Source organism: Homo sapiens, chromosome 5 (genome assembly GCF_000001405.40).
Source record: "Homo sapiens chromosome 5, GRCh38.p14 Primary Assembly".
NCBI classification, from domain to species: domain Eukaryota; kingdom Metazoa; phylum Chordata; class Mammalia; order Primates; family Hominidae; genus Homo; species Homo sapiens.
Window position 1 is genome coordinate 180,600,963 of NC_000005.10, and position 22,440 is coordinate 180,623,402.

The window sequence follows — 22,440 nt, forward strand, 5'->3', positions numbered from 1 at the left end:
GAGCCGCTCAGCCCTGGGCACGGGGGGACACCCTGTTGGTGGACACCTGGGTTGGCACATATGTCAAGGTCAGTGACTAAATTCAGTCAATTATAATGGAAAGCTAAAATATCCAAACCCAGCCTGGGCAATACAGTGAGACCTCATTTCTACAAACCAACCAACCAACCAAAACAAAAAAAAAGCGGCCGGGCGCGGTGGCTCACACCTGTAATTCCAGCACTTTTGGGAGGCTGAGGCCGGGAGTTCGAGCCCAGCCTGGCCAACATGGTGAAACCCCGTCTCTACTAAAAATACAAAAATTAGCTGGGCGTGGTGGCAGGTGCCTGTAATCCCAGCTACTCAGGAGGCTGAGGCAGAAGAATTGCTTGAAGACGGAGGTTCCAGTGAGCCGAGATCGCGCCACTGAACTCCAGCCTGGGGGAAAGAGCAAAACTGTCTCAAAAAAAAAAAAAAAAAAAAAAAAAAGCCCAATGTGGGGGCTGTTCTGTATTCCCATTTAGATTTATTACGGAAGCAAAAACAATAAAAGCAACACTCCCGTCCGCAACACACACAAAGACCGGCATCAGATTTATTATTATCTCTTGTTAAATATTTTCGATCTTTTCTCAGAACATGGTCTAGAAGGGCATAGTAGTTTTTTTCCCGGTACATGCGTGGGTGGGTAGTGAGGAGAAGGGAGCAGAGGTGCGCGCCAGGAGCCAGGCTGGTTCTCTGCAGAGAACAACCTCCAGATCCTCCCAGGGAAGCCTGACACGCCAGTCCCACGTTGGACGACGTGCAGAGGAAGGGGGAGGTCCACGGGGACGACGAAGATGACCTTATACGTGCACTCGGCATATCCTGGAGTAACGCGCAGTGGGGGAGGTGGGGAGGGGAGGGTCGGCCGGGCAAGCCCCTGCCCGCTGCGCGGCGCCTGTCCTGCAAGCGTCTGGTGCGTGGGTTTGGGGGGTCAGGGTGGTGGTCAGTCTCCGTGGTCCTAACGTGGGGATGTGGCTCTTTCTCCTGGTGAGATGGTTGGGCACTGTGAGCTGGGATAGGGGTCCTGAGCAGAATGCCTCCAGCCTTCAGGGGATCTCTCGGCTGCTCCTCTGGGAGGGCGGCATTCTGACCAGCCAGGGTGCTGATGTCAGGCACAGGGCAGGAAAAGGCTGAAGGCAGGTCCCCAGAATGTCCACTGAGTGCTGGGTGGCACAGGGCAATGCTGGGTGGTCCTTTGTGCCAGCCCCGAGCCTTCCTGAGTGGATCCCACAGTGTTCATCTCTCATGAGCTGGTTCACGGCTTGGGAGGGGCCGCAGGTGGCAGATCCGGGCTCTAAAGGGAAGAACCAGACCGGCAGCTCCAGACCCAGGCTCCTCGGAGTCTGGGCCAGGTGGGAGAGCAAGGGCCTTCTCCAGAGGCACTGACTGCTCTGCTGGCCTTGACCTGGGGCGGGGGTCAGAGTCATCTAGACTCAGTACAGCTGTCCCTGGGCGCCTTCCAGGCTGAATTCGGAAAGCAAATTCTTCTCAGCAGCTCTAACAGTCTGTGAAGTTCTGTTGAAAAAGACTTGCAGGATGGCTCTCAACACCCAGGCGCAGGTGTGCGGGCTGCCTCTGTGTTGCCAGCGTATAATACTGTCATACTGGTGGCCACCCCAGGGGCTAGTTGGCTGTTTGGTCAGGCCCAGAAGAGGACCCTGCAAATGCCTTCTTTGAGATGGAAACACAGCCCCTCCCTTCAACTGTGCAGGGGTGGGTGAGGCCAGCCAGCCCTCGTGGGGAGAGTAGCTGTGTGCCTGAGGAGGAAAGGGCGTTTGGGAGACCTCTGCTCTCGTATGCCTTAACCTCCAACACTGTGTGACTCCCAGACCCACAGATTCCTCGTGGGAAAACAGGGACCAGGCCACCACCCAGTGTGATGAAAGGAGGTCGCCAAAGAGACATTCCCATGGAAGTGCTGGCCCCGGGACCAGCACCTGCGGATGCTGAACTAAATGACATCTGAATCTCAGGGGGAGGGGCCGGGGCAGCTGGAGCGTGGCCCTGGCCAGTCGTGGTGACGGAATTCCGGGAGCCTTGGGCCTGGAGTCCTGCTCTTCCTAGCTGGGAAGTCTGCAGAGAGGGAAGAGGACACTCCTGTGCCACCAGAGTTCAACCAGATGAGTTCCCAGCCTGGGCCTCCAGCCCTCTGCCCGCCCTGCCGGGCCTGAACCCCCAAGTGCTGGGGGTCTTGTCCGATGCTGCTTAGTAGCTGTTGTCTGTGAAGAAAGTCACGCGGGCAGACGGGGAGCAGTGGTCCTCCTCGCTTGGCTCCGACAGCTCCCCATACTCGCTGTTGTAAAACACCTGGCCTCCTCGGGCCCCCCGCTCAGGCCGCCGCCGCCTCCCTTGGGAGTCAGGGTGTGCCCTGGTCACAGCCACATTCTGGCCAGGTCCTTTACAGCTGCCAAGACAGGGAAGGTGGTGTTAGTAAGAGAAGAAGGCTGGGTGGCGGGTGGTGCATACTGGTAATCCCAGTACTTGGGAGGCCTAGGCAGGCGGATGGCTTCAGGCCAGGAGTTAGAGTCCAGCCCAGGCAACATGGGGAAACCCCGTCTCTACAAAAAATACAAAAATTAGCCAGGCATGGTGGTGCACGCCTGCGGTCCCAGCTAAGTGAAACAATTGCTTGAGGCCGGGTGCGGTGGCTCATGCCTGTAATCCCAGCACTTTGCTGGGAGACCGAGGCGGGCGGATCACGAGGTCAGGAGATCGAGACCATCCTGGCTAACACGGTGAAACCCCGTCTCTACTAAAAATACAAAACATTAGCCGGGCGTGGTGGCGGGCGCCTGTAGTCCCAGCTACTCGGGAGGCTGAGGCAGGAGAATGGCGTGAACCCGGGAGGCGGAGCTTGCAGTGAGCTGAGATCGCACCACTGCACTCCAGCCTGGGCGACAGAGTGAGACTCCATCTTAAAAAAAAAAAAAATTGCTTGAGCCCAGGAGGTGGAGGTTTCAGTGAGCCAAGATCGTGCCGCTGCACTCCAGCCTGGGTGACAAAGTGAGACCCTGTCTCAAAAACAAACTAACAAAAAACAAGGAGGGACTGGAGCCCTGTCAGGGTCTGATGGGAACCACCAAGGACACAGTGGAGCATGGCATGCGTTCAGACTTCAGAAAACACACACAGACTCGACTCAAACAGCAAAGCGGATCGATCTGATCCAGCACTCACTGGAGCTCTGTCCCTACCTAGCCTGGACCCGAGACTGTGAAGAATGTCCAACTTCATCCCCCAACCCAGTTCTCACTCTGTCTTGCCCATCTCAGTGAACGGCACCACCGTCCCCTCAGCCGCTCAAGCCAAGCACCCTGGGGTTCTCCTTGCTTCCTCCTTCCCCTCACTCTTCAAAGCCAATCCATCCAGAAGTCCTGTCCATTCTAACTCCAGGACACATCCGTGCATCTCCATTCCTGGCCCTCCTGCGGAGCCAGCTGTGTCCTTGCCGGCTCTGTGACATCCTCCCGCGGACTGCTGTGTGCTTCCACCCTGGCCTCCTGGTGGTCCACCCTTCAGAGAGGTCCTTCAAGTTACACTATGTCATTCTCCTCCTGACACGCCCTCCAACGGCTTCCCGTCACTCCACGAAGCAAATCCAGGCCTCTCGCCTTGACCTAGGGGGTGGTTTCTGCCCCTGCCCTCCTCTCTGCCTGCCCTATCATGCACCATCCTCAAGCGCTCACTTTCTTTGCATTTTTTGAAGATGTTGACTTCTTGTTTGGTGCTTTGCATGGTGCTACTGAAAACTCTTGACTGTAAGTTTAAAATATTAGTTCTTTTACTGTTTGCATTTTCTTCCTCTGGGACTCCCAATTTTATATATATTGTCTCTTTTCTATTCCTGTCACTTTCTGATCCTTTTGCCTCTTTTCAGTTTTGTTTTCCTCTTTTCACGTCCATCCTCTGTGTCTGGCACTATCAGTCTGCTCATACATATTGTCCCTGTGGTGCCCTGGTTTTAGAAAAGATTTATCGGGTTTTTTTCCCCCAAAATGGGGGCTTGCTGTGTTGCCCAGCCTGGAGTGCAGTGGCACGATCATGGCTCACTGCATCCTCGACCTTCTGGGCTCAAGCAACTCTCCCACCTCAGCCTGCTGAGCGGCTGCTACCACAGGCATGGGCCACCACACCCAGCTAATTTTTAAAATTACTATTTGTAGAGACAGCGTCTCATTCTGTTGCCCAGGTTGGTCTTGAACTCCGGGCCTCAAGTGATCCTCCTGCCTCAGCCTCCCAGTGTGCTGTGATTACAGGTGAGAGCTACTGCCTGGCCGAATCTATCTTTTATTTCGATTTCTTTCCTGAATTTAGTCTGCTGTCAGTTGTATCATCACATTGTCCGTCCATTTCTATCCTGAAATTTTGAATTTCAGATTCAACAAAACAAGCCACTGCTTGTTTCCTTATATGTTTAATTCATGTTGGAGCATTTTGCTCGTTTTCCTGTTTCTTTTGAACAATTGTCTACCGGGAAGTTTTAACTCTAATACTGTCTTATTCCTATAACTTTGTATGGAGGGTGCTTTTTTGGGGGTTCAGGATTATTCATGTTAGGATTTCCTACACCAGAAATAGCCACTTCTCCTGTGGATGGGACTAGGGATTTTGGTGGCATCCTACATTTCTTCACTTAAAAGTGCCACCTCAAACCCATATCTTTGGCATCTCAAGTTCCTTTGAGCACATTCTTCCTTCTGAAGGCTCATACACGTCCCGTATCATCCTGCCACCAGGGGCCAGCTAGTCTCTTACCCAGAAGAGCTAGGCCCTCCACTGGCTGCACGCAGCCATGCTGAGTGACCACAAGCCCAGTTTCCTGATCTCCTTCCACCCACAGATGCAGGTGAAAAGCCACATCTATAGGTACGGGCTCTGGCATCCTAAGTGGGTACTGAAGGGGCTGGATGATGTAACCCAGGAGTGAGGAGGTGAACCCCCATGGGGCGAGTGCCGACCAGTGGTTAACAGGAGACAGCGAAGGACTAGGCAGATAGATTCCTCCTTCTTCTCCCCACACCCCACCAAGGCACATTCTCTCCTTGCACCTGTTTGCACAGCATTCTGTATGCCAAGCGGATGCACCCGCCAGAGACCTGTGGCACCTTTTCTTGGCTCATTGTCGACAGAGGACAAAGAACAGTGCCCTCTGCTGCCGATACAGGGTGGTGCAGTTTCTCAAATGAACAAATCCATCATGTGTCTTCTTCTGACTTCTGGATACTATCTTGCTTCCTTAGGACCCATGTCTTCTGGAACTTTCTTCTTCCTCTACCACCAAGCATCCAAGGGGCTGCACTCCCTTCTGGCTCGCCGCCCTTTCAGAAGCAAGATGGCTGCCCAGTGCCTCGGGCTTGGCAAGGGAGCTCTCCTCGCAGCCCCATCTCCTCCGTCACCCCTGGGTCTGTGTTGCCACATCCCCAAGGACCTCGTCACACTCTCCTCTCACGGGACGGCCCTATCTGACTCTCCCACCATGGTGCAGGCTCAGCCGTGCGGGTCCTGGCGTTGAGTCCCCAACTCACGTTTCCACGGAGTCTGTCTCCTAGCTGAGCCACAGGCCTGGGCTGAGCGGCCTTCTTTGATCTCAAGGAGCTGTGCTGTTTCTCGAAGGTGTGTAGAGGTTTGAATTTACGTGGCGATCATTCTCTGTGACACCTTTTACTTAATTACCTTGTTTTTTGAATGTCGAAATGCTGTTTGGTGACGAAAAATTAGCCCAAAGCTATTTCCGTAAATGTGACCACCATTGATTTTCCAAAACCAGGTACTAACAGGAGTCACCTGATGAGCTGGGCGTGGTGGCTCATACCTGTAATCCCAGCACCCTGGGAGGCTGAGGGCAGATCACTTGAGGCCAGGAGTTCAAGACCAGCCTGGCCAACGTGGCGAAACCCCGTCTCTACTAAAAAAAAAAAAAAAAAAAAAACAAACAAACAAACTTAGCTGGGCGTGGTGGCACACGCCTATAATCCCAGCTACTCAAGAGGCTGAGGCAGGATAATCACGTGAACCCGGGAGGTGGAGGTTGCGGTGAGCCGAGATCGCACCACTGCACTCTAGCCTGGGTGACGGAGTGAGACTCTGTCTCAAAAAATAAAAATAAAAATAAAAATAAAATGAATCTTTTAAGCAGACACTGAAGTCTTTGTTTAAATCTATACCCTTAAAAGTTTCAACATTCAAAATGGCCAAAACTGTTTTTCCCCTGGCTGTCATGTTGGGCAAATGGAGTTCACTTTCTATCTGGGATATGTGGGTATTTCTCTGTTGCCAAAATACATCCCAGCCTGTGGGCGAAGGATCACCCAGGTGCTGAGGCAAGAGACTGAAGGCACAAACTGTTTCAGTATAATAAAGAAAACAGTGGCCGGGCGCGGTGGCTCAGGCCTGTAATCCCAGCACTTTGGGAGGCCGAGGGCGGGCGGATCACGAGGTCAGGAGATCGAGACCATCCTGGCTAACATGGCGAAACCCGGTCTCTACTAAAAAAAATACAAAACAATTAGCCGGGCGTGGTGGCGGGTGCCTGTAGTCCCAGCTACTCGGAAGGCTGAGGCAGGAGAATGGCGTGAACCCAGGAGGCGGAGGTTGCAGCGAGCAGAGATCGCACCACTGCACTCTAGCCTGGGAGACAGAGCGAGACTGTCTCAAAAAAAAAAAAATACATACATACATATATATATATAAAATAAAGAAAATAGAATAAGAATAGTCATAATACAAATTAGATAGAGAGATGATCATGGACATTATCAGTCATTAGTATAAACATGATTAATTAGCTTTTAATACTACTCTTTGATGTATTACTCATATTACCAAGGAATAACTGGTGGGCACAGGGTCAGGTGCTGAAGGGACATTGTGAGAAGTGACCTAGAAGGCAAGAGGTGAGCCCTCTGTCACGCTGGCATAAGGGCCGCTTGAGGGCTCTTTGGTCAAGCAGTAACGCCAGTGTCTGGGAAGGCACCTGTTACTCAGCAGACCATGAAAGGGCGTCTCCCTTTCCTTGGAGGAGTCAGGGAACACTCTGCTCCACCAGCTTCTTGTGGGAGGCTGGATATTATCCAGGCCTGCCCGCAGTCATCCGGAGGCCTAACCCCTCCCTGTGGTGCTTCAGTGGTCACACTCCTTGTCCACTTTCATGCTCCTCTTGTCCTCCTGGTTCCTCTTTGAAGTTTGTAGTAGATAGCAGTAGAAGAAATAGCGAAAGTCTTAAAGTCTTTGATCTTTCTTATAAGTGCAGAGAAGAAAATGCTGACGTATGCTGCCTTCTCTCTCTCTGCTTCAGCTACCTAAGAGGGAAGGGCCCCGTCCCATGATCATGTGACTTGCTTCACCTTATCAATCACTTGAACGACTCACCCTCCTGACCCTGCCCCCTTGTCTTGCATGCAATAAATATCAGCGTGCTCAGCCATTCGGGGCCACTACCGGTCTCCACGTCTTGATGGTAGGGGTCCCCCAGGCCCAGCTGTTTTCTCTTTATCTCTGTCTTGTGTCTTTCTTTCTTACGATCTCTTATCTCCACACACGGGGAGAACACCCGCTAAGCCCCACAGGGCCGGACCCTACACCAGCCAGTTCAGATTACAGTATCTACCCGGCTTCTGGAGCCACTGGGTGAAGTTCCGGGGTTCTGGGGCTGGGGTGGCCTCCCCAACCTGGAGGAGAGTGTGTGTGCCCTGGGCATGGTGGGTTACGTGTGGTGTCAGAAAGACACAGCATCTGAGCTCTGTCAGATGACAGGGAGGTGTCGGGACCAGCGCCCACGTGGCCAGCATGTGACAGGGAGGGGCTCCCGCGGTGCTGTAGGTCAGGAGGGGTCTCAGGCAGCTCACCTTGAACGCGCGAAAAGGCCATAGGGAGCCACGAAAGGTTCCGGGAAGAGGGCTGGGCACACCCAGACCCCAGCCTCCCTCCTCCAGGGGAGGGCAACATCGATACCTGCAGTGCAGGAGGCTCACGAAGCCCTTACCTGAAGCCGCTTTCTTGTCTATGCCTGCTCTCTATCTGCTCAAACTCCTCCGAGGCCAGCACCATCCCACTGTCTGTCTGGTTGTCCTGTGTGGAGAGGACAAGCCAGGCTGTGGGTCCCGCCTGAGGCCCTCCTGCAGGGCAGCCACCCCCAGCCAGGAAAGTGCGGCATGGTCCTGCAGCGCGGCTGACCTAACACCTGTCCCTGGGAAGCTGAGCCAGAAACAAGGCGTCCATTCCATCCCAGGGTGAGGGTCACATGCCCCTGCCACGGAGGGAGACACTGAGGTCAGGGGGGCTGTGTGTGGCCCGTGGACGCCTCATACTTGGGGACCTCCACGGTGGCCAAGCATATGCTCAGTGTGTGAAGAGCAGGAGCCGTGGGAGAAGCAGGGAGAGGCCTCACAACCTGGCAGCTCGTAGTTCAAAAAACGATCCATGTGAGGCTGCCTCCCGGTTTGGGGGGCTTTGTTATCCTTCGACTGTGGCTTGGTGTGGTTTTTATTTTGAATTACACGGGAGGGAAACTGCGATCTTTTCAGAGTCCCCCAACATCTCCAAGTGGCCCTGGAGGCAGGAACCCAGGTCCCTGTGGTCTGGCCAAGGGCTCCCATGGGGCCCCTCTGCCCAGCGCTCACTGACCAGGCCCGGGACCCCCGAACCTGCCACCGAGGAGGAGCCGTCCTTCCACTGGGGTTTCTGCGCTGCTGAGGAGGGGAGGCCTCGTGTGGGGGTGACGAGGGCATAGGACAGAAAGCAGCTGTGAGTCGTGGCATCGCAGGAGGGCCCAAATGTGCCCAAGGCTCACCCTGGACTTGCACTTTCAAAGGACAGTCGTTGGGTTCTGCCATTTGCCTTACGAATTCCTGACGCTGCCTCCCCTGAGGCGGCCCCAGCCCTGAGCCGAGAGCGCAGCCCCCACCCTTCATGTGAAGTACCACAGAGCCTTTGTAGGTCGTTGGGGTCATGGGGAATTCCTCAAATGTCTTCATCCTGGAGGAACCACGGGTCTCAGCCCCTCTGGCCAGGCACCCGGGAAAGGACACCCAGTTGTAATACCTGTGGGGAGAAATCAGAAGGTGCTGAGGAACGCGCTGCAGCAACCCTCCTCGAACTTCTCTCCACTGTCCCTGTGCCCCCTCTTCTCCTGGAAAGGACCCCCCGCCTGGGGCAGGAGTATGGATGGGCCTGGGCCTGAGTGCTGGCAGGGGCTCCTCCGTGTGCCTGGCCTCAGATGTCTACCCCACAGCCCCAGCAGCACCCTGGGCTGTGTTTCCTCCCGAGTCCACTGCTGAGCTCTGTGATGGGAAGTGAGGGGGCATCCAGCCCCGTGTGGCATGGAGCTCCTCCCGGGGATGGGCTACCCTGGGCCAGCCAGGCAGCCCTGGGGCTGCAAGCCGCCGACTGCCCTGCCCGTACGTGGGTGCACTAAGGCACACGTTGAGGGGTTTGTGGAAGGAGCCTGGCAGAATCCAGCTAACTGTTGTTGTCCCCCAGGCCTAGCCCTGCCGTATGCTAGGGCAGAGGGACAGGACGCAGAGCCTGCATCTCAGCAACACTGCTGTGAATGGGGCCAGCACAGCCATCCTGAGTGTGAAATGCCAGGGATAAGAGAGCCTGGGCAGAGTTCCGGGAATTAGGTTACGTTCTCCTCCTGCCCACGCCTCATAGTTGGAGTCCTTCCCTGCTCCCAGGGACTCTTGGGGACTCACCCCCAGACTAATCAGTGATTTAGATAATCAGAGATTCCTGGGAGGAATCTTGGCCCAAACACAGTCCACTCCACCTCTCCGGGAGAAAAAGTACGCTTGCCGGGCGCAGTGGCTCACGCCTGTAATCCCAGCACTTTGGGAGGCCGAGGCAGGCAGATCACGAGGTCAGGAGATCGAGACCATCCTGGCTAACACGGTGAAACCCCGTCTCTACTAAAAATACAAAAAATTAGCCAGGCGTGGTGGCGGGTGCCTGTAGTCCCAGCTACTCGGGAGGCTGAGGCAGGAGAATGGCGTGAACCTGGGAGGCGGAGCTTGCGGTGAGCCGAGATCGCGCCACTGCACTCCAGCCTGGGCGACAGAGCGAGACTCCGTCTCAAAAAAATAAATAAATAAATAAAAAGTACCCTTGATGTTGGGGTGAGGGGACACTGGTGGGTGGACAGGACTCAAAAACAAGCACGCAGCCAGGCCACACGGCCGTGGAAGGACCCTGCAGTGGGTCATTTAAAGCCACTCTGTGCTCTGAGTTTGTGCACACTGGCCTCTGACGTCGCATGATTTGCTTTTCCCCGATGACGCAGAGGGATAAAATGCACCTTGTCCACATGGCTTTCTCCCACCCTACTCCTGGACCTGCAGGACAGCTGACCTGGCGGCCAGGCTGTGGCGCTGCAGGCTTGGCGGGCTGTCCTCAGCGTCAGCCTGGGCGATGTGTAGGGCCATGGTGGACACCTGCGAGAAGCTGCCCTCTTCTGAGCTCTGAGAGCTGCGCGGGGCCATGCAGACCTCCTCTTCCTCCTGGCGGGAACAGGAGAGGCAGCCAGGCCAGAAACCACCAGCCACTGCCCTCAGCCCTCGCCCCCACCCTCAGCCCTCACCCCCGCCCTCAGCCCTCACCCCCGCCCTCAGCCCTCGCCCCCGCACTCAGCTCTCGCCCCCGCCCTCGCCCTGCCCTCAGCCCTCGCTCTGCCCTCGGGACTGCTTGGGCTCCTGACCCCTGAGATAGGGCCCTAACAGACCATGCGGGCACGTGAGTGCTCCACAGAGGAAACGAGCTCATGCCAGAAACCAGCACATCTCAGCCATCAAGACAGATAAGGGGTCAAGGTAGCAGAATGCTGGCTGTGCCAGCCTCGCTAAGTTCTCCCAACAGCCCTTCCAGGTACATTTATGGATGAGGCAGGTGGGGCAGGCTGGGGCTCAGCCGGATCATCCCTCCTCCAGTCCCTAGCTGAGCTGGCAGCCTCAGGAACTGGGGCCAGCACTCCCTACCTTCTTCTTTGGATGGAACTAGACCCGCAGCACCCATCCCAGTCCCTAAGGCCTGGGCAACAGGCCACCCCCTGCTTCTTGCTCCAGGCCCCACCTTGAGCTGGGTCACAAGCCGGCTCCATCCCCCACCCTGGAGGAGCACCACGTGGGGAGGGAGAGATGTCAGCACACACAGGTCAAGGGTCCGTGTGTTCAGTGGAGTGGGGGACAGAACTGGCACCAGGTGAAGGAATACATCATGACGATGCCAGGGAGATGGGGCTGCCTCACAGGCCGGGGGGGACCAGCCTAGGATTCCCCTCGCGCAGGGACAGGCTCTGACTATCCACACAGCACCTGGAGCAGGCAGTGGAGCTGTGCAGCGGGTGTGTACTCAACAGAAAGATGCAAGGGTGTGGGGACGAGGTGTGGATAGGGGCCCAGGACCCCACCACCCTAGCCTAGCAGCTGAGAGGTGGGCAGAGCCTAGATGGGCTTGGAGGGGCAGCTCGGGCCAGGGACCCAGGGCAGGGGCCAAAGGCCATAGTAGAACAGGGTGGGGAAGGGGCTCACTTGCAGGCCCCTGCCCTGGAGCAGGTCCCCCAGGATCTCCACCAGCTCCGAGAATGCAGGTCTCGCCTTGGGGTCTCCGGACCAGCAGTTCAGCATGATGCGGCGTCTGCAGGATCACGTGGGCTGCTGGACTGCATGCACCCCACCCCCGTCCCAGGACCTTCAGTGCCCCAGCCTTCCTGGGCCCTCTCACCCACTCTGCCCTCCTCCTGACACGTCTCCCACTCTTGTCCAGCTACCCTCGTTCCTCCTTCAAGTGTTAGCCCAGCGTCCCCTCCTGGTGATGCTTTCCCTGAACACTCGGCTCTGTTCCGACAGCGCCCGGCCTTCCCTCCTGGTGTCCTCCTGGTGCAGCTGTGCTACAGACTACCCGTGTATCTTGAGGGTGGTGCCCAGGCCTGTCCTACTGGCCCTGGCTTCCCTGATGCCACCTTCTCATGGACACAACCCCCACGCCCCCGACGCTTGCTGTCCCCAAAACCTGCAGGGCCATGGGGAGGCTCACATGGCGGGAGTGGCCAGCTCCGGGGCCCTCATCCTTGTGCCGTCTCTCAGCCGCTGGCAGAACTCCTCATTGATCTGCACCCCAGGGTACGGGGAGGCCCCTGACAACAGGAAGGGGAGGTGGGTGGGGAGCAAGCCTCCTGCGGCTCAGCCCAGCCCCCCAAGTCACCCCATCCTGTCCCTTCCCCATCAAGTCACCCCGTCCTGTCCCTTTCCCCATCCGTGGTGGGGTGGAGATGGCTCACCCGACTGTGCTCTACCTGGGACCTGTGGGCAAGTCGCTGCCCTCCCCAGCTCTAGTTCATTTGGTTAAAAGAGGACTGTGCCGCCTGCTTGCTAGGGGTGCCAAGAGCATCCACCCACTGGCGACACGGTAGACATCATGGTTACTGGATCATCAGCGGCGGGGGAGCCGCCTGCAGGCAGTTTCAACAAAGCCTCTCTTGCTTCTCGCTGCTTCTCCTGCTGCTCCCCCCAACCCCTGCTGCTCCCCCCAACCCCTGCTGCTCCTCCCAACCCCTGCTGCTCCCCGTCCTGGACTGCTGAACTCCCTCCTTGGGCCCCTCTGGCTTACCCGAGCTCCCACGCCTCCTACACTCTTCCTGCTCCTTTAGTTTCCGCAGTAGCGTGGATCAGTTGCCACTTGGTGACATTTTAACTTTTTCAAGTTCACTGCCCTACCCTGGCCTGGAGACTTCATCATGCTCGCAGCGGGGCCTGAGTTCCCACATGGAGCTCTTGGAGCTCTTGGAGTAGGCACGTCTGCTGACTGGGCACTGAGCTCCCTCTGGGGCTGCCATGTGAAAAGGCTCAGTCCTGGCTCAGGCTTCAATGTGCACCCCACAGAGGGTGGCCCACGTTGGAGGCAAAGTCCTCTCGGAGGCTGGGCCAGGCTGGGGAGAGGTGGGGGGCCCTTGGTGGCCCACAAACCACCTGCTTCAGAACGACCTGGCACACACCTCCAGGTGCCCAGTCCCTTACTCCAGCAGGGGCGGTCATGTAACCTGCCGCCAGTGACCTCGCCTCCTCTCCCCACCGGCACCCCATCCTGCACTCACCCAGAGAGAAGATCTCCCAGAGAAGCACCCCAAAGGACCACACGTCACTCTGCGTGGTGTACACCTTGTCGAAGATGCTTTCAGGGGCCATCCACTTCAGGGGCAGCCGGGCCTGGGGAGACAGAGGGAAGCTTGTCCCGTGGTGGATGGGGAGACGGAGGGAAGCGTGTCCCGTGGTGGATGGGGAGACGGAGGGAAGCGTGTCCTGCGGTGGATGGGGAGACGGAGGGAAGCGTGTCCCGTGGTGGATGGGAAGAGAGGGCTGAGGCCAGATGCTCTGGCACCCCCTAACAGGGTCCTCTGCCTGGGTTGAAGGTATCTCCCTGCTGCTGTTCTCCTGGGTCTGTCTGGGCCCCTCTCCCTCCCAGCTCTCAGGGGAGGGGTATCGGGGTAGACTGTACACCTTCCTCCAGCCCTAGACCTCCAGCGCAGCCTCCTGATGAAACGCACCCCTGCACACTCTCACCATCTCCCCTGACAAGCACGCTCTGTCCACTCACTGTCCCCACCCTGGAAGCCGGGCCATCACTCCTGACACCCTCCTCCTGGGCTCCTGAGGCATCTCCGCCGCCGGCTGTCTCTCTCCCTCTCATGGTCTCTACCTGGGAGCCCTGAGGGCCAGGGCCCTTCTGGACTGGCCTCTACCTCCACCCCAGCACCCCCACTCCCCTCTCTTCCCAGCTTACGGCATAAGGGAGGTTTTTGTAACTGCAGACAACCTGACACTTCCCTCCAACCAGCGGCCATGCTGGGCTGGATGGCTCATCAAGACCAGGCCCTGGGCCCATCCTGCTCCTCCCCCTCTGACACCCTTTCTCCCCCAGGCGCGGAACCCTGACCCGCCTTGGAGGCTCATCCAGGCACCTGCTGCCCTGCCTGAGCTCCATTCACAAGACACTCCGCCTCCTGAGTTCCACATACTGCACCAAGCGGGTCCATCTCCAGGACAGACACCACAGAATGCTTTGCACTCTCAGGCTCCATAGGGCAGGCCCTGGGAGTCAGGACCCACCGCACGGAGCAAGGCGCGGGGCAAAGACAAGCTCCAATCAGAACAAGCTCCAATCGGAGCACTGCGGCCCCGCTGGTCACCTCCCTTCTCCACTTCCTTTCGGAGCACTGGGCCCCGCTGGTCACCTCCCTTCTCCACTTCCTTTTGGAGCACTGGGCCCCGCTGGTCAACTCCCATCTCCACTTCCGAAATCCACTTCCTTTCGGAGCACTGGGCCCCGCCGGTCACCTCCCTTCTCCACTTCCTTTCGGAGCACTGGGCCCCGCTGGTCACCTCCCTTCTCCACTTCCGAAATCCACTTCCTTTCGGAGCACTGGGTCCCGCTGGTCACCTCCCTTCTCCACTTCCTTTCGGAGCACTGGGCCCGCCGGTCACCTCCCTTCTCCACTTCCGAAATCCACTGTCTTTCGGAGCACTGGGGCCCCGCCGGTCACCTCCCTTCTCCACTTCCTTTCGGAGCACTGGGCCCGCCGGTCACCTCCCTTCTCCACTTCCTTTCGGAGCACTGGGTCCCGCTGGTCACCTCCCTTCTCCACTTCCTTTCGGAGCACTGGGCCCGCCGGTCACCTCCCTTCTCCACTTCCTTTCGGAGCACTGGGCCTGCCGGTCACCTCCCTTCTCCACTTCCGAAATCCACTTCCTTTCGGAGCACTGGGCCCGCCGGTCACCTCCCTTCTCCACTTCCTTTCGGAGCACTGGGCCCCGCCGGTCACCTCCCTTCTCCACTTCCTTTCGGAGCACTGGGCCTGCCGGTCACCTCCCTTCTCCACTTCCTTTCGGAGCACTGGGCCTGCCGGTCACCTCCCTTCTCCACTTCCTTTCGGAGCACTGGGCCCCGCCGGTCACCTCCCTTCTCCACTTCCTTTCGGAGCACTGGGCCCCGCCGGTCACCTCCCTTCTCCACTTCCTTTCGGAGCACTGGGCCTGCCGGTCACCTCCCTTCTCCACTTCCTTTCGGAGCACTGGGCCTGCCGGTCACCTCCCTTCTCCACTTCCTTTCGGAGCACTGGGCCTGCCGGTCACCTCCCTTCTCCACTTCCTTTCGGAGCACTGGGCCTGCCGGTCACCTCCCTTCTCCACTTCCTTGCCCCAAGATGCCTAAGGTGGGGGGTGGTCAGTAGGGTCCCCTGGGGGCAGGAGGTCCACCAGCAGCTGGGCACATGGCTGGCCAACCAAGGAGCTCACCTCACCCTGTGCCAGCCCTCCCTCTCCTGGACAGGCAGTCTGTGGTCCCACCCCTTCACCTGTTCCGCCCCACGTTCCCTCTCCTCAATGGCCTGCACTCACACTGCCCTTGCGGACGTAGTCGGGGTCTTTGTAGATGTCCCGGGCAAGGCCAAAGTCACAGATCTTCACCACGTCGCTTTCCGACAGCAGAATGTTCCGAGCAGCCAGGTCTCTGTGGATGCACTGGGGTGCGGGGAGGCGGCAGGGGGGCTGTCAGTGCAGGCCCCTGGGGTAATACCCACACCCGAAACTCCAGGGTGCCCAAGCAGTGGGGACCATGGGGATGCCCTGCCTGAACTGTGCTCCTTTGGGGAAGGATTCCCATCCATCTCCAGGACTCATCATGGAGAGAGCTTGTGGAATTGTGGGGACAGCAGAGAAAGTTGTGGAGTCAAACAGACTCTGCTGCTGACCAGCCAAGAGACCTTGGGAGGTCAACTCCATGCTTTGGGCAGAGTTTCCTCCTCTGCAAAGTGGGAGAGACACTGATGGACCACAGAGCCATTGCAGGGTGAGGCCAGTACCAAGCACTTCTTGGCGACTGGTGGGGATGCACCCTTTTCCCGTCTGAAGGGCCTTCGGGGGAAGCTCACCTTTCGGGAAGCCAGGAACTCCATCCCTCTGGCCACCTGGAAGCTGTAGCAGACAAGATCTTCCATGGTCAGCGGGCTCAGCCACAGGTCCTCAGCTACACAGTGGAGCCAGGTGGGCTCAGGAGGCGCCTCCTCCGCGGCCTCCATCTACCCAGCCCCAGGGAACAGCTAACAAGCATGTCAGCCCCTCTCCTGCCCCTCAGACTCTGGGACACCCACATCCTACTCCAGAGCACCCTCTCCTGCCCCTCAGCCTCTGGGACACCCACATCCTACTCCAGAGCACCCTCTCCTGCCCCTCAGCCTCTGGGACACCCACGTCCTACTCCAGAGCACCCTCTCCTGCCCCTCAGCCTCTGGGACACACACGTCCTACTCCAGAGCACCCTCTCCTGCCCCTCAGACTCTGGGACACCCACGTCCTACTCCAGAGCACCCTCTCCTGCCCCTCAGACTCTGGGACACCCACGTCCTACTCCAGAGCACCCTCTCCTGCCCCTCAGCCTCTGGGACACCCACATCCTACTCCAGAGCACCCTCTCCTGCCCCTCAGCCTCTGGGACACCCACGTCCTACTCCAGAGCACCCTCTCCTGCCCCTCAGCCTCTGGGACACCCACGTCCTACTCCAGAGCACCCTCTCCTGCCCCTCAGCCTCTGGGACACCCACGTCCTACTCCAGAGCACCCTCTCCTGCCCCTCAGCCTCTGGGACACCCACGTCCTATTCCAGAGCACCCTCTCCTGCCCCTCAGCCTCTGGGACACCCACGTCCTACTCCAGAGCACCCTCTCCTGCCCCTCAGCCTCTGGGACACCCACGTCCTACTCCAGAGCACCCTCTCCTGCCCCTCAGCCTCTGGTACACCCACGTCCTATTCCAGAGCACCCTCTCCTGCCCCTCAGCCTCTGGGACACCCACGTCCTACTCCCAGAGCACCCTCTCCTGCCCCTCAACCTCTGGGACACCCACGTCCTATTCCAGAGCACCCTCTCCTGCCACTCAGCCTCTGGGACACCCACGTCCTACTCCCAGAGCACCCTCTCCTGCCCCTCAGCCTCTGGGACACCCACATCCTATTCCAGAGTACCCTCTCCTGCCACTCAGCCTCTGGGACACCCACATCCTACTCCAGAGCACCCTCTCCTGCCCCTCAGCCTCTGGGACACCCACGTCCTACTCCCAGAGCACCCTCTCCTGCCCCTCAGCCTCTGGGACACCCACATCCTATTCCAGAGCACCCTCTCCTGCCCCTCAGCCTCTGGGACACCCACATCCTATTCCAGAGCACCCTCTCCTGCCCCTCAGCCTCTGGGACACCCACGTCCTACTCCCAGAGCACCCTCTCCTGCCCCTCAGCCTCTGGGACACCCACGTCCTACTCCAGAGCACCCTCTCCTGCCCCTCAGCCTCTGGGACACCCACGTCCTACTCCCAGAGCACCCTCTCCTGCCCCTCAGCCTCTGGGACACCCACATCCTACTCCAGAGCACCCTCTCCTGCTCCTCAGCCTCTGGGACACCCACGTCCTACTCCAGAGGACCCTCTCCTGCCCCTCAGCCTCTGGGACACCCACGTCCTACTCCCAGAGCAGTAAATACTGTTGCTCTGTGGGGGCCGGGCACCTGCTGCTTGGCCCTCCACTGCCTGCCTTGTCTGCAGGGCAATTTCCTATTCAGCCTCTGATGACCCAGTCAATCGTAAAACATCTGTGTGAAAATTGTCCCCGAGGTGTCTTCCCTTCCTAAGGCAGAGCCCATTCCACACTCTCCCATGAAAGCCCCCGCTGAGGACCCCAGGCTGGGGTGCCTGATCACGGGATATAACCGGGCCCGTCAGGCACTAGGAAAAGGGAAGAGGCCAGGCTCTCACCTTCTTGGTCTGGAGAAGCCCGCCTCGCTCCGCCCTCGGTCTTCGAGAACCGCGCGAAGAGGACCCTGTCGCTGCTCCCCGGCCGCCTCCGATCCAGCCTGGCGAGCTCCACCATGGCGCGGAAGCGTCCGCGCTGCTCGGGAGACTTCTCCTGCGGATGCACGAAGCTGGCTCGAGGGCGCCCAGTCGTCCGCCGCAGAGGCGCCTCCATTCCCCCGCCGCCCGCGGCGCCCCGCAGGCCGCCCGCTCACCGCGCAGGGGCTGAAGGCGTCCCGCTTGGCGCGCAGGAAGTTGGAGAGGTTGCCGTACTTGCAGAACTCCACGATCACCATGAGGGGGCCTGCGGCGGGACCGGGCGGCGGCCGTGCGTTCGGAACCCGGGGCGCGCTGCGGGCGCGCTCCGCGTTTGCACCCGCGCCCCCTCCCGCCCGCGGCGCCCCGCGCCCGGGGTCTCGCCGTCCCAGCGGGCCGCCCGCTCCGTACCCTGCGGCTTGGTGCACGCCCCGAGGAGGTTGACCACGTTGAGGTGGTTGCCGATGTGAATGAGGATCTTGAGCTCCGACATCAGCGCGCGGTGCTCGCTGGCCGTGGCGCCCTCTGGAGGGGACACGGGCCTCACACCGGCCCCGACCCTGGCAGGTCCCCGTTCCCCGCCACCCGGCGCTTTTGGGAGGGGGAGGGTTACTAAGGGCCCCCAGGACATCCTGCCGGCCCCACTGAGGCAGAGGGGGTTCGGGTGGTCCCTCGGCTCTGAAGCCCGCAGCCTCCCTGTAGAATCTCGGATGAGACTGGCTTCCAGCCTCAGTCTCCCTTCCCGAGTTGCCGTCCCACCGGCCCACCCCGAGCTGCTGCTCCTCACCAGCTAGGCTGCCCCTTCCGCCCGCTGACCCCACACCTTTCAGCATTTTCACGGCCACGGTGTCACAGCTGCTGCCCTTGTGGATGCCGAAAGCGGAGGCTTCCACCACCTTCCCGAAGGCGCCGTAGCCGAGCACTCTCCCTGTCGGGGCAGGGGGCCAGTTGCAGGTGAGCTGTACGGGGTGAGCGTGGAGACAGGTGGGCGGCGGGGGAGCCCCGTGCAGAGGTCCAGGAGGACAGGCCTGGCAGCAGGAGGAGCGTGGGGAGCCACAGCGGGAAGACAAGGAGAGGTGGACAGGAGGCCGCGCATCCTCCCGGGTAGGTGTGACAGATACACCCTGCTCAGGGTGGCAGCAGGTGACCTCAGGGAGCCTGGGAACTGGGGACCCTGGCTGAGGTTCTAGGTACCCACGCCCACAGGGACAGGTCAGGCCAGGCGGAACTTCCTGGTGCAAGTTTTGAAAATGGAGGGATTCAGGCACTCCGGCCTGCAGCAGGTGGGTCGGGCAGGAGGTGTGGGTTGGGCAGGCTGGTGCTGGCCTCACCCAGGTGCAGCCGCTCTCGGGGGAATTCCCACTGGCTGGCATCGTAGGACAGGTATTCGCATTGCTCCTCCAGAGGCACCTCCCCGGGGTCCATGATGATGGACAGGTAGCCCGTCTTGATGTCTGCGTGGGCCGGCTGCGGGGAGGGGACAGGGAGGAGTGGGGCAGCTCACTGATTTGGCCATACCACTGTGGCTTGGGCAGAACTTTGCCCAGGACAGATGGCACTTCCTGCGGGGTTCTCAGTCAAGGAGGGGACAGAAAAAAAGACAGACAACCTCTGCGGGGTTGGAGCCCAGCGTGAAGGGCAGGGAGGCTTCCCAGGAAACAAGGCTGCCAGGTGAACTAGGGCGGGCACCTTATTCTTTATCTTAGGGGCGGCCAGGGTGGGGAAGGCCTGAGAGAGACTCCATCAGGAGCGGGGAGGGACACTCACCCTCCTCATGTTACAGAAGATGAGGAGGAGGAGGACCCAGAAGAAGACAGCGATGACGCCGGTACCGACAAGGATCACGATCTCCATGCTGCCCTTATCCTCGGAGCCTGCGTGGGCAGAAAGGGGCCGGCGTGTGTGTGTGTGTGTGTAAGAGCGTGCACCTGCAGGCAGCACCCCTTCTGGTGGCCACGACTTGCCCAAGGTGGCCACAAGAAAGCGTTAACTGGGGACGGGAAGGGAGTTGAGGGGTGCAGCCTGAGGCCAGACCTTCCACGGCCACGCTGGCGGAGGAGTTGACGCAGCCCTTGGCGTTGCACACGCTGCACAGATAGCGTCCCGCATCCTCCTCGCGCACGCGCTGGATGCTCAGCTTCTGGTTGGAGTCCGCCAAGTCGACTCCTGCAGGGGGTGGGGTGGAGGTGCGGGTCCACCTGGGTTTGGGATCGTCGGCCTCGCGGGCCTCCGGACCTGCCCTTCGCCAGGGCCACCCTCCCTACCAGACTTTTCCTCCAGCAGCCTCTCGTCTTTGTACCACACGATGCTGGGCGCGTGCGCTCCGGCCACCAAGCACTGCATCTCCAGCGAGTCGCTCACGTTCACCAGGAGGTCGGTCAAGTTCTGCGTGAGCCGAGGGGCTTCCAGGGCTGGGGGCAGGGGTCGAGAGGGAGCTAAGTGGAGCTGCACTTAGCAGGAGGACCCTCTTTGGGCTGGGAGCAGAGGTAGAAAAGGATCCCTGGAAGCTGGACTTAGGGGTTGTGCGCCGGGCAGGAGCGCGGCGCGCCTCCGCAGGGGGCGGCGGATAGTCAGGAGGGGTAGCTCCTGCAGGCCAGGGCTGTGAATAGACCTCCCAGGGGCGAGCCACGCCGGGGCAAAGGCAGAGGCAGCTACTGCTAGAAGAGAGCGCGTCCCCGCCCTCCCCGCGGCCAGCCTCACCCTGCACCGACAGGTACTTCTTGTGGCAGTGCTTGTCATGGCTGCGCCGGTCTTGCACTTCGCACACATAGTGGCCCTCGTGCTCGGGCGCGACGCGGGGGATACTCAGGCTGAGCGTGGCGTGGCGCGCCCCAGGTGCCACCTCCTCCAGGCTGGCGGCCAGAGGGGTGGCGAACAGATGCACGTTCTTGCAGTCGAGCAGAAGCGGGTTCCCGTGCGCATCGTGCAGCGTGGACAGGTTGAGGCGGTACCAGCGCAGATGCTCGTACTTGTAGCTGTCGGCTTGGCAGCTCAGGAGCACCGGCTGGCCCTCTAGTAGCTCCTCGGATGGCTTGGATTCGATGGTGAAGCCGTCGGGGATGGCTGTGGAGGGAGGAAGAAGCCCTGTGGCACTGCCCTGGGAGTTTGCTCCCCCATCCACCTGCCGCCCCGGGGTCTCCTCCTGCCTCCCTCCCTCCCTCTCTCCTGGAGGGGCCCCAGCTGGACTGCTTGCCCCCCGCCCCACCAAAAGCCCAGGTCATCAGGAGTTCCTTGTCACCCTCAGTGGGACTTGAGTCCTCATTCTCTCTTGAAGCTTGCCATGCCCCACCCCATGCTCAGCCTGAAATAACGTGTTCCCTGGCTTTTCCCAGTGCCGTGCGCCCACTTCCTCTTGTCTCTCTGGTCACTTCTGGTCAGGCTCCTGTGGCCCCCCAGCCCCCGGGTGTTCTTTTGGGCTCCATCTCTCTGCTGGTGCCCTGATCTACATCTCTCTGCTGGTGCCCTGATCTACATTCTGGGACCCAGTGACGTCTGCTCCTGGGCTCCGCTCTCCTGAGGTCACTACCACATTTGAAAATCTGAGTAAACCACAGAGCTTCTCCCCAGAGCAAAATTCACACGAGTCACAAGGTCTCAGGGCTTGGGAAGGGGAGGGTGGGAGTGGGTATAGCTAGGAGGAGCTGCAGTGAGCCAAGGGCATCCTTGAGGGAGGAGCCCCAGGGTTGGGGACAGAGGATGCCATTCCATCCCAGTGCGCCAGCACCCAGGCCCTATGCTGGTGACCCTTAAATCTATTTTTCCTGTCTACAACCGGTAGGCCTTGGATCTCTCTCCTGGGTGTCCCAAAGACCCCAGAAACTCAATGAGCCCAAACCTGCCCCCTCCTGACCCTGTACCCAGGCCTCCCCGCCCTGGTCTGGTCACTCACTGGTCACATAGAAGTAGATGAGCCGCTCATCCTGGCCCACCTTGTTGGAGACCACACACTTGTACATGGCAGACACGTTGGCATTCTGGATCACCAGCTTGCTCACAGTCTGGGAGAGCACAGGCACAAGGATCCATTTCCTGCCCAAGTTCTCCCAACCTGGGCCCTGTCTTTCTGCAAGGAGGTCGCTGTGCACCACCCCCCCCAATCATGGGGGAAACTGAGGCTTTGGGCTGGAGAAGACCAAAACTCACAGGACCAGGGATAGTGAGGCAGAGGAGAGAAGGCCCCTGGGCAGCAGAGAGAGGTAGCTGCCCAGAAAAGTCAAGGGACAGTGTATGGACTGCTGGCCTAGGCTGCAGTGACGTCAGAGGGCAGCCTTTGGCAGGACCAGAGAGACCTCTGGCCGTGGCTATGTTGAGGGGGCACCAGCGTCAGTGCAAGCCAGGGTGAGAATTCAGCCTGGGTCACAGCAAAAGCCAGTCACTTCTGGATGGGGTCAGGCCCAATCCAGTCGCTGCTTGCTGAGATCCTCGTGAGATGGCCTCCTCAGCCCAGAACTGTCCTCAGCAGCAATCCCGAGGCCCAGGGTTATTGAGAGGGGTGGGGATGGCTCCCAGAAGGACTGAGGCCTCAGGGAGTAGGAAGCCTGAGACACAGGGGAGGAGAGAG

At 59.4% G+C, this 22,440-nt stretch overlaps 1 protein-coding gene across 10 annotated transcripts in view, besides 2 other annotated features; it reads right to left on the reverse strand.

Annotated features, from left to right (window-relative positions):
* FLT4 (fms related receptor tyrosine kinase 4) overlaps nt 544–22,440 on the reverse strand; it is a 48,793-nt gene continuing 26,896 nt past the window's right edge. For 4 of the 10 annotated variants that reach the window (XM_017009268.2, NM_182925.5, XM_011534478.4 and 1 more), the window contains 19 exons: nt 21,769–21,877; nt 20,580–20,942; nt 20,144–20,290; nt 19,914–20,045; nt 19,647–19,753; nt 19,211–19,346; nt 18,703–18,807; nt 18,291–18,404; nt 18,059–18,147; nt 17,808–17,958; nt 15,938–16,032; nt 15,405–15,527; nt 13,106–13,217; nt 12,049–12,148; nt 11,544–11,649; nt 10,369–10,517; nt 8,943–9,063; nt 8,006–8,091; nt 544–2,428 (listed from right to left, as the gene is read on the reverse strand). In XM_017009268.2, coding sequence (XP_016864757.1) covers nt 2,230–2,428; nt 8,006–8,091; nt 8,943–9,063; nt 10,369–10,517; nt 11,544–11,649; nt 12,049–12,148; nt 13,106–13,217; nt 15,405–15,527; nt 15,938–16,032; nt 17,808–17,958; nt 18,059–18,147; nt 18,291–18,404; nt 18,703–18,807; nt 19,211–19,346; nt 19,647–19,753; nt 19,914–20,045; nt 20,144–20,290; nt 20,580–20,942; nt 21,769–21,877 — 2,544 coding nt within the window. In that variant the 3' untranslated portion in view covers nt 544–2,229. Of the gene's footprint in view, nt 2,429–6,786; nt 7,323–8,005; nt 8,092–8,196; nt 8,270–8,942; nt 9,064–10,368; nt 10,518–11,543; nt 11,675–12,048; nt 12,149–13,105; nt 13,218–15,404; nt 15,528–15,937; nt 16,033–17,807; nt 17,959–18,058; nt 18,148–18,290; nt 18,405–18,702; nt 18,808–19,210; nt 19,347–19,646; nt 19,754–19,913; nt 20,046–20,143; nt 20,291–20,579; nt 20,943–21,768; nt 21,878–22,440 lie in introns of those variants that run through there. The other 6 variants (NM_002020.5, XM_047417002.1, XM_017009266.2 and 3 more) reach the window with 4 other exon arrangements.
* Nucleotides 1,616–2,116: an enhancer, noted in NCBI's record as "H3K4me1 hESC enhancer chr5:180029578-180030078 (GRCh37/hg19 assembly coordinates)". NCBI's record gives its function as "activates a minimal SCP1, AML or CMV promoter by ChIP-STARR-seq in naive H9 embryonic stem cells {active_cell/tissue: H9 hESC(naive)}" and the evidence as "EXISTENCE:reporter gene assay evidence [ECO:0000049][PMID:30033119]".
* Nucleotides 18,869–20,068: an enhancer, noted in NCBI's record as "CDK7 strongly-dependent group 2 enhancer chr5:180046831-180048030 (GRCh37/hg19 assembly coordinates)". NCBI's record gives its function as "activates an origin of replication core promoter dependent on BRD2, BRD4, P300/CBP, MED14 and CDK7 cofactors, with strong dependence on CDK7, by STARR-seq in HCT116 cells {active_cell/tissue: HCT116}" and the evidence as "EXISTENCE:reporter gene assay evidence [ECO:0000049][PMID:35650434]".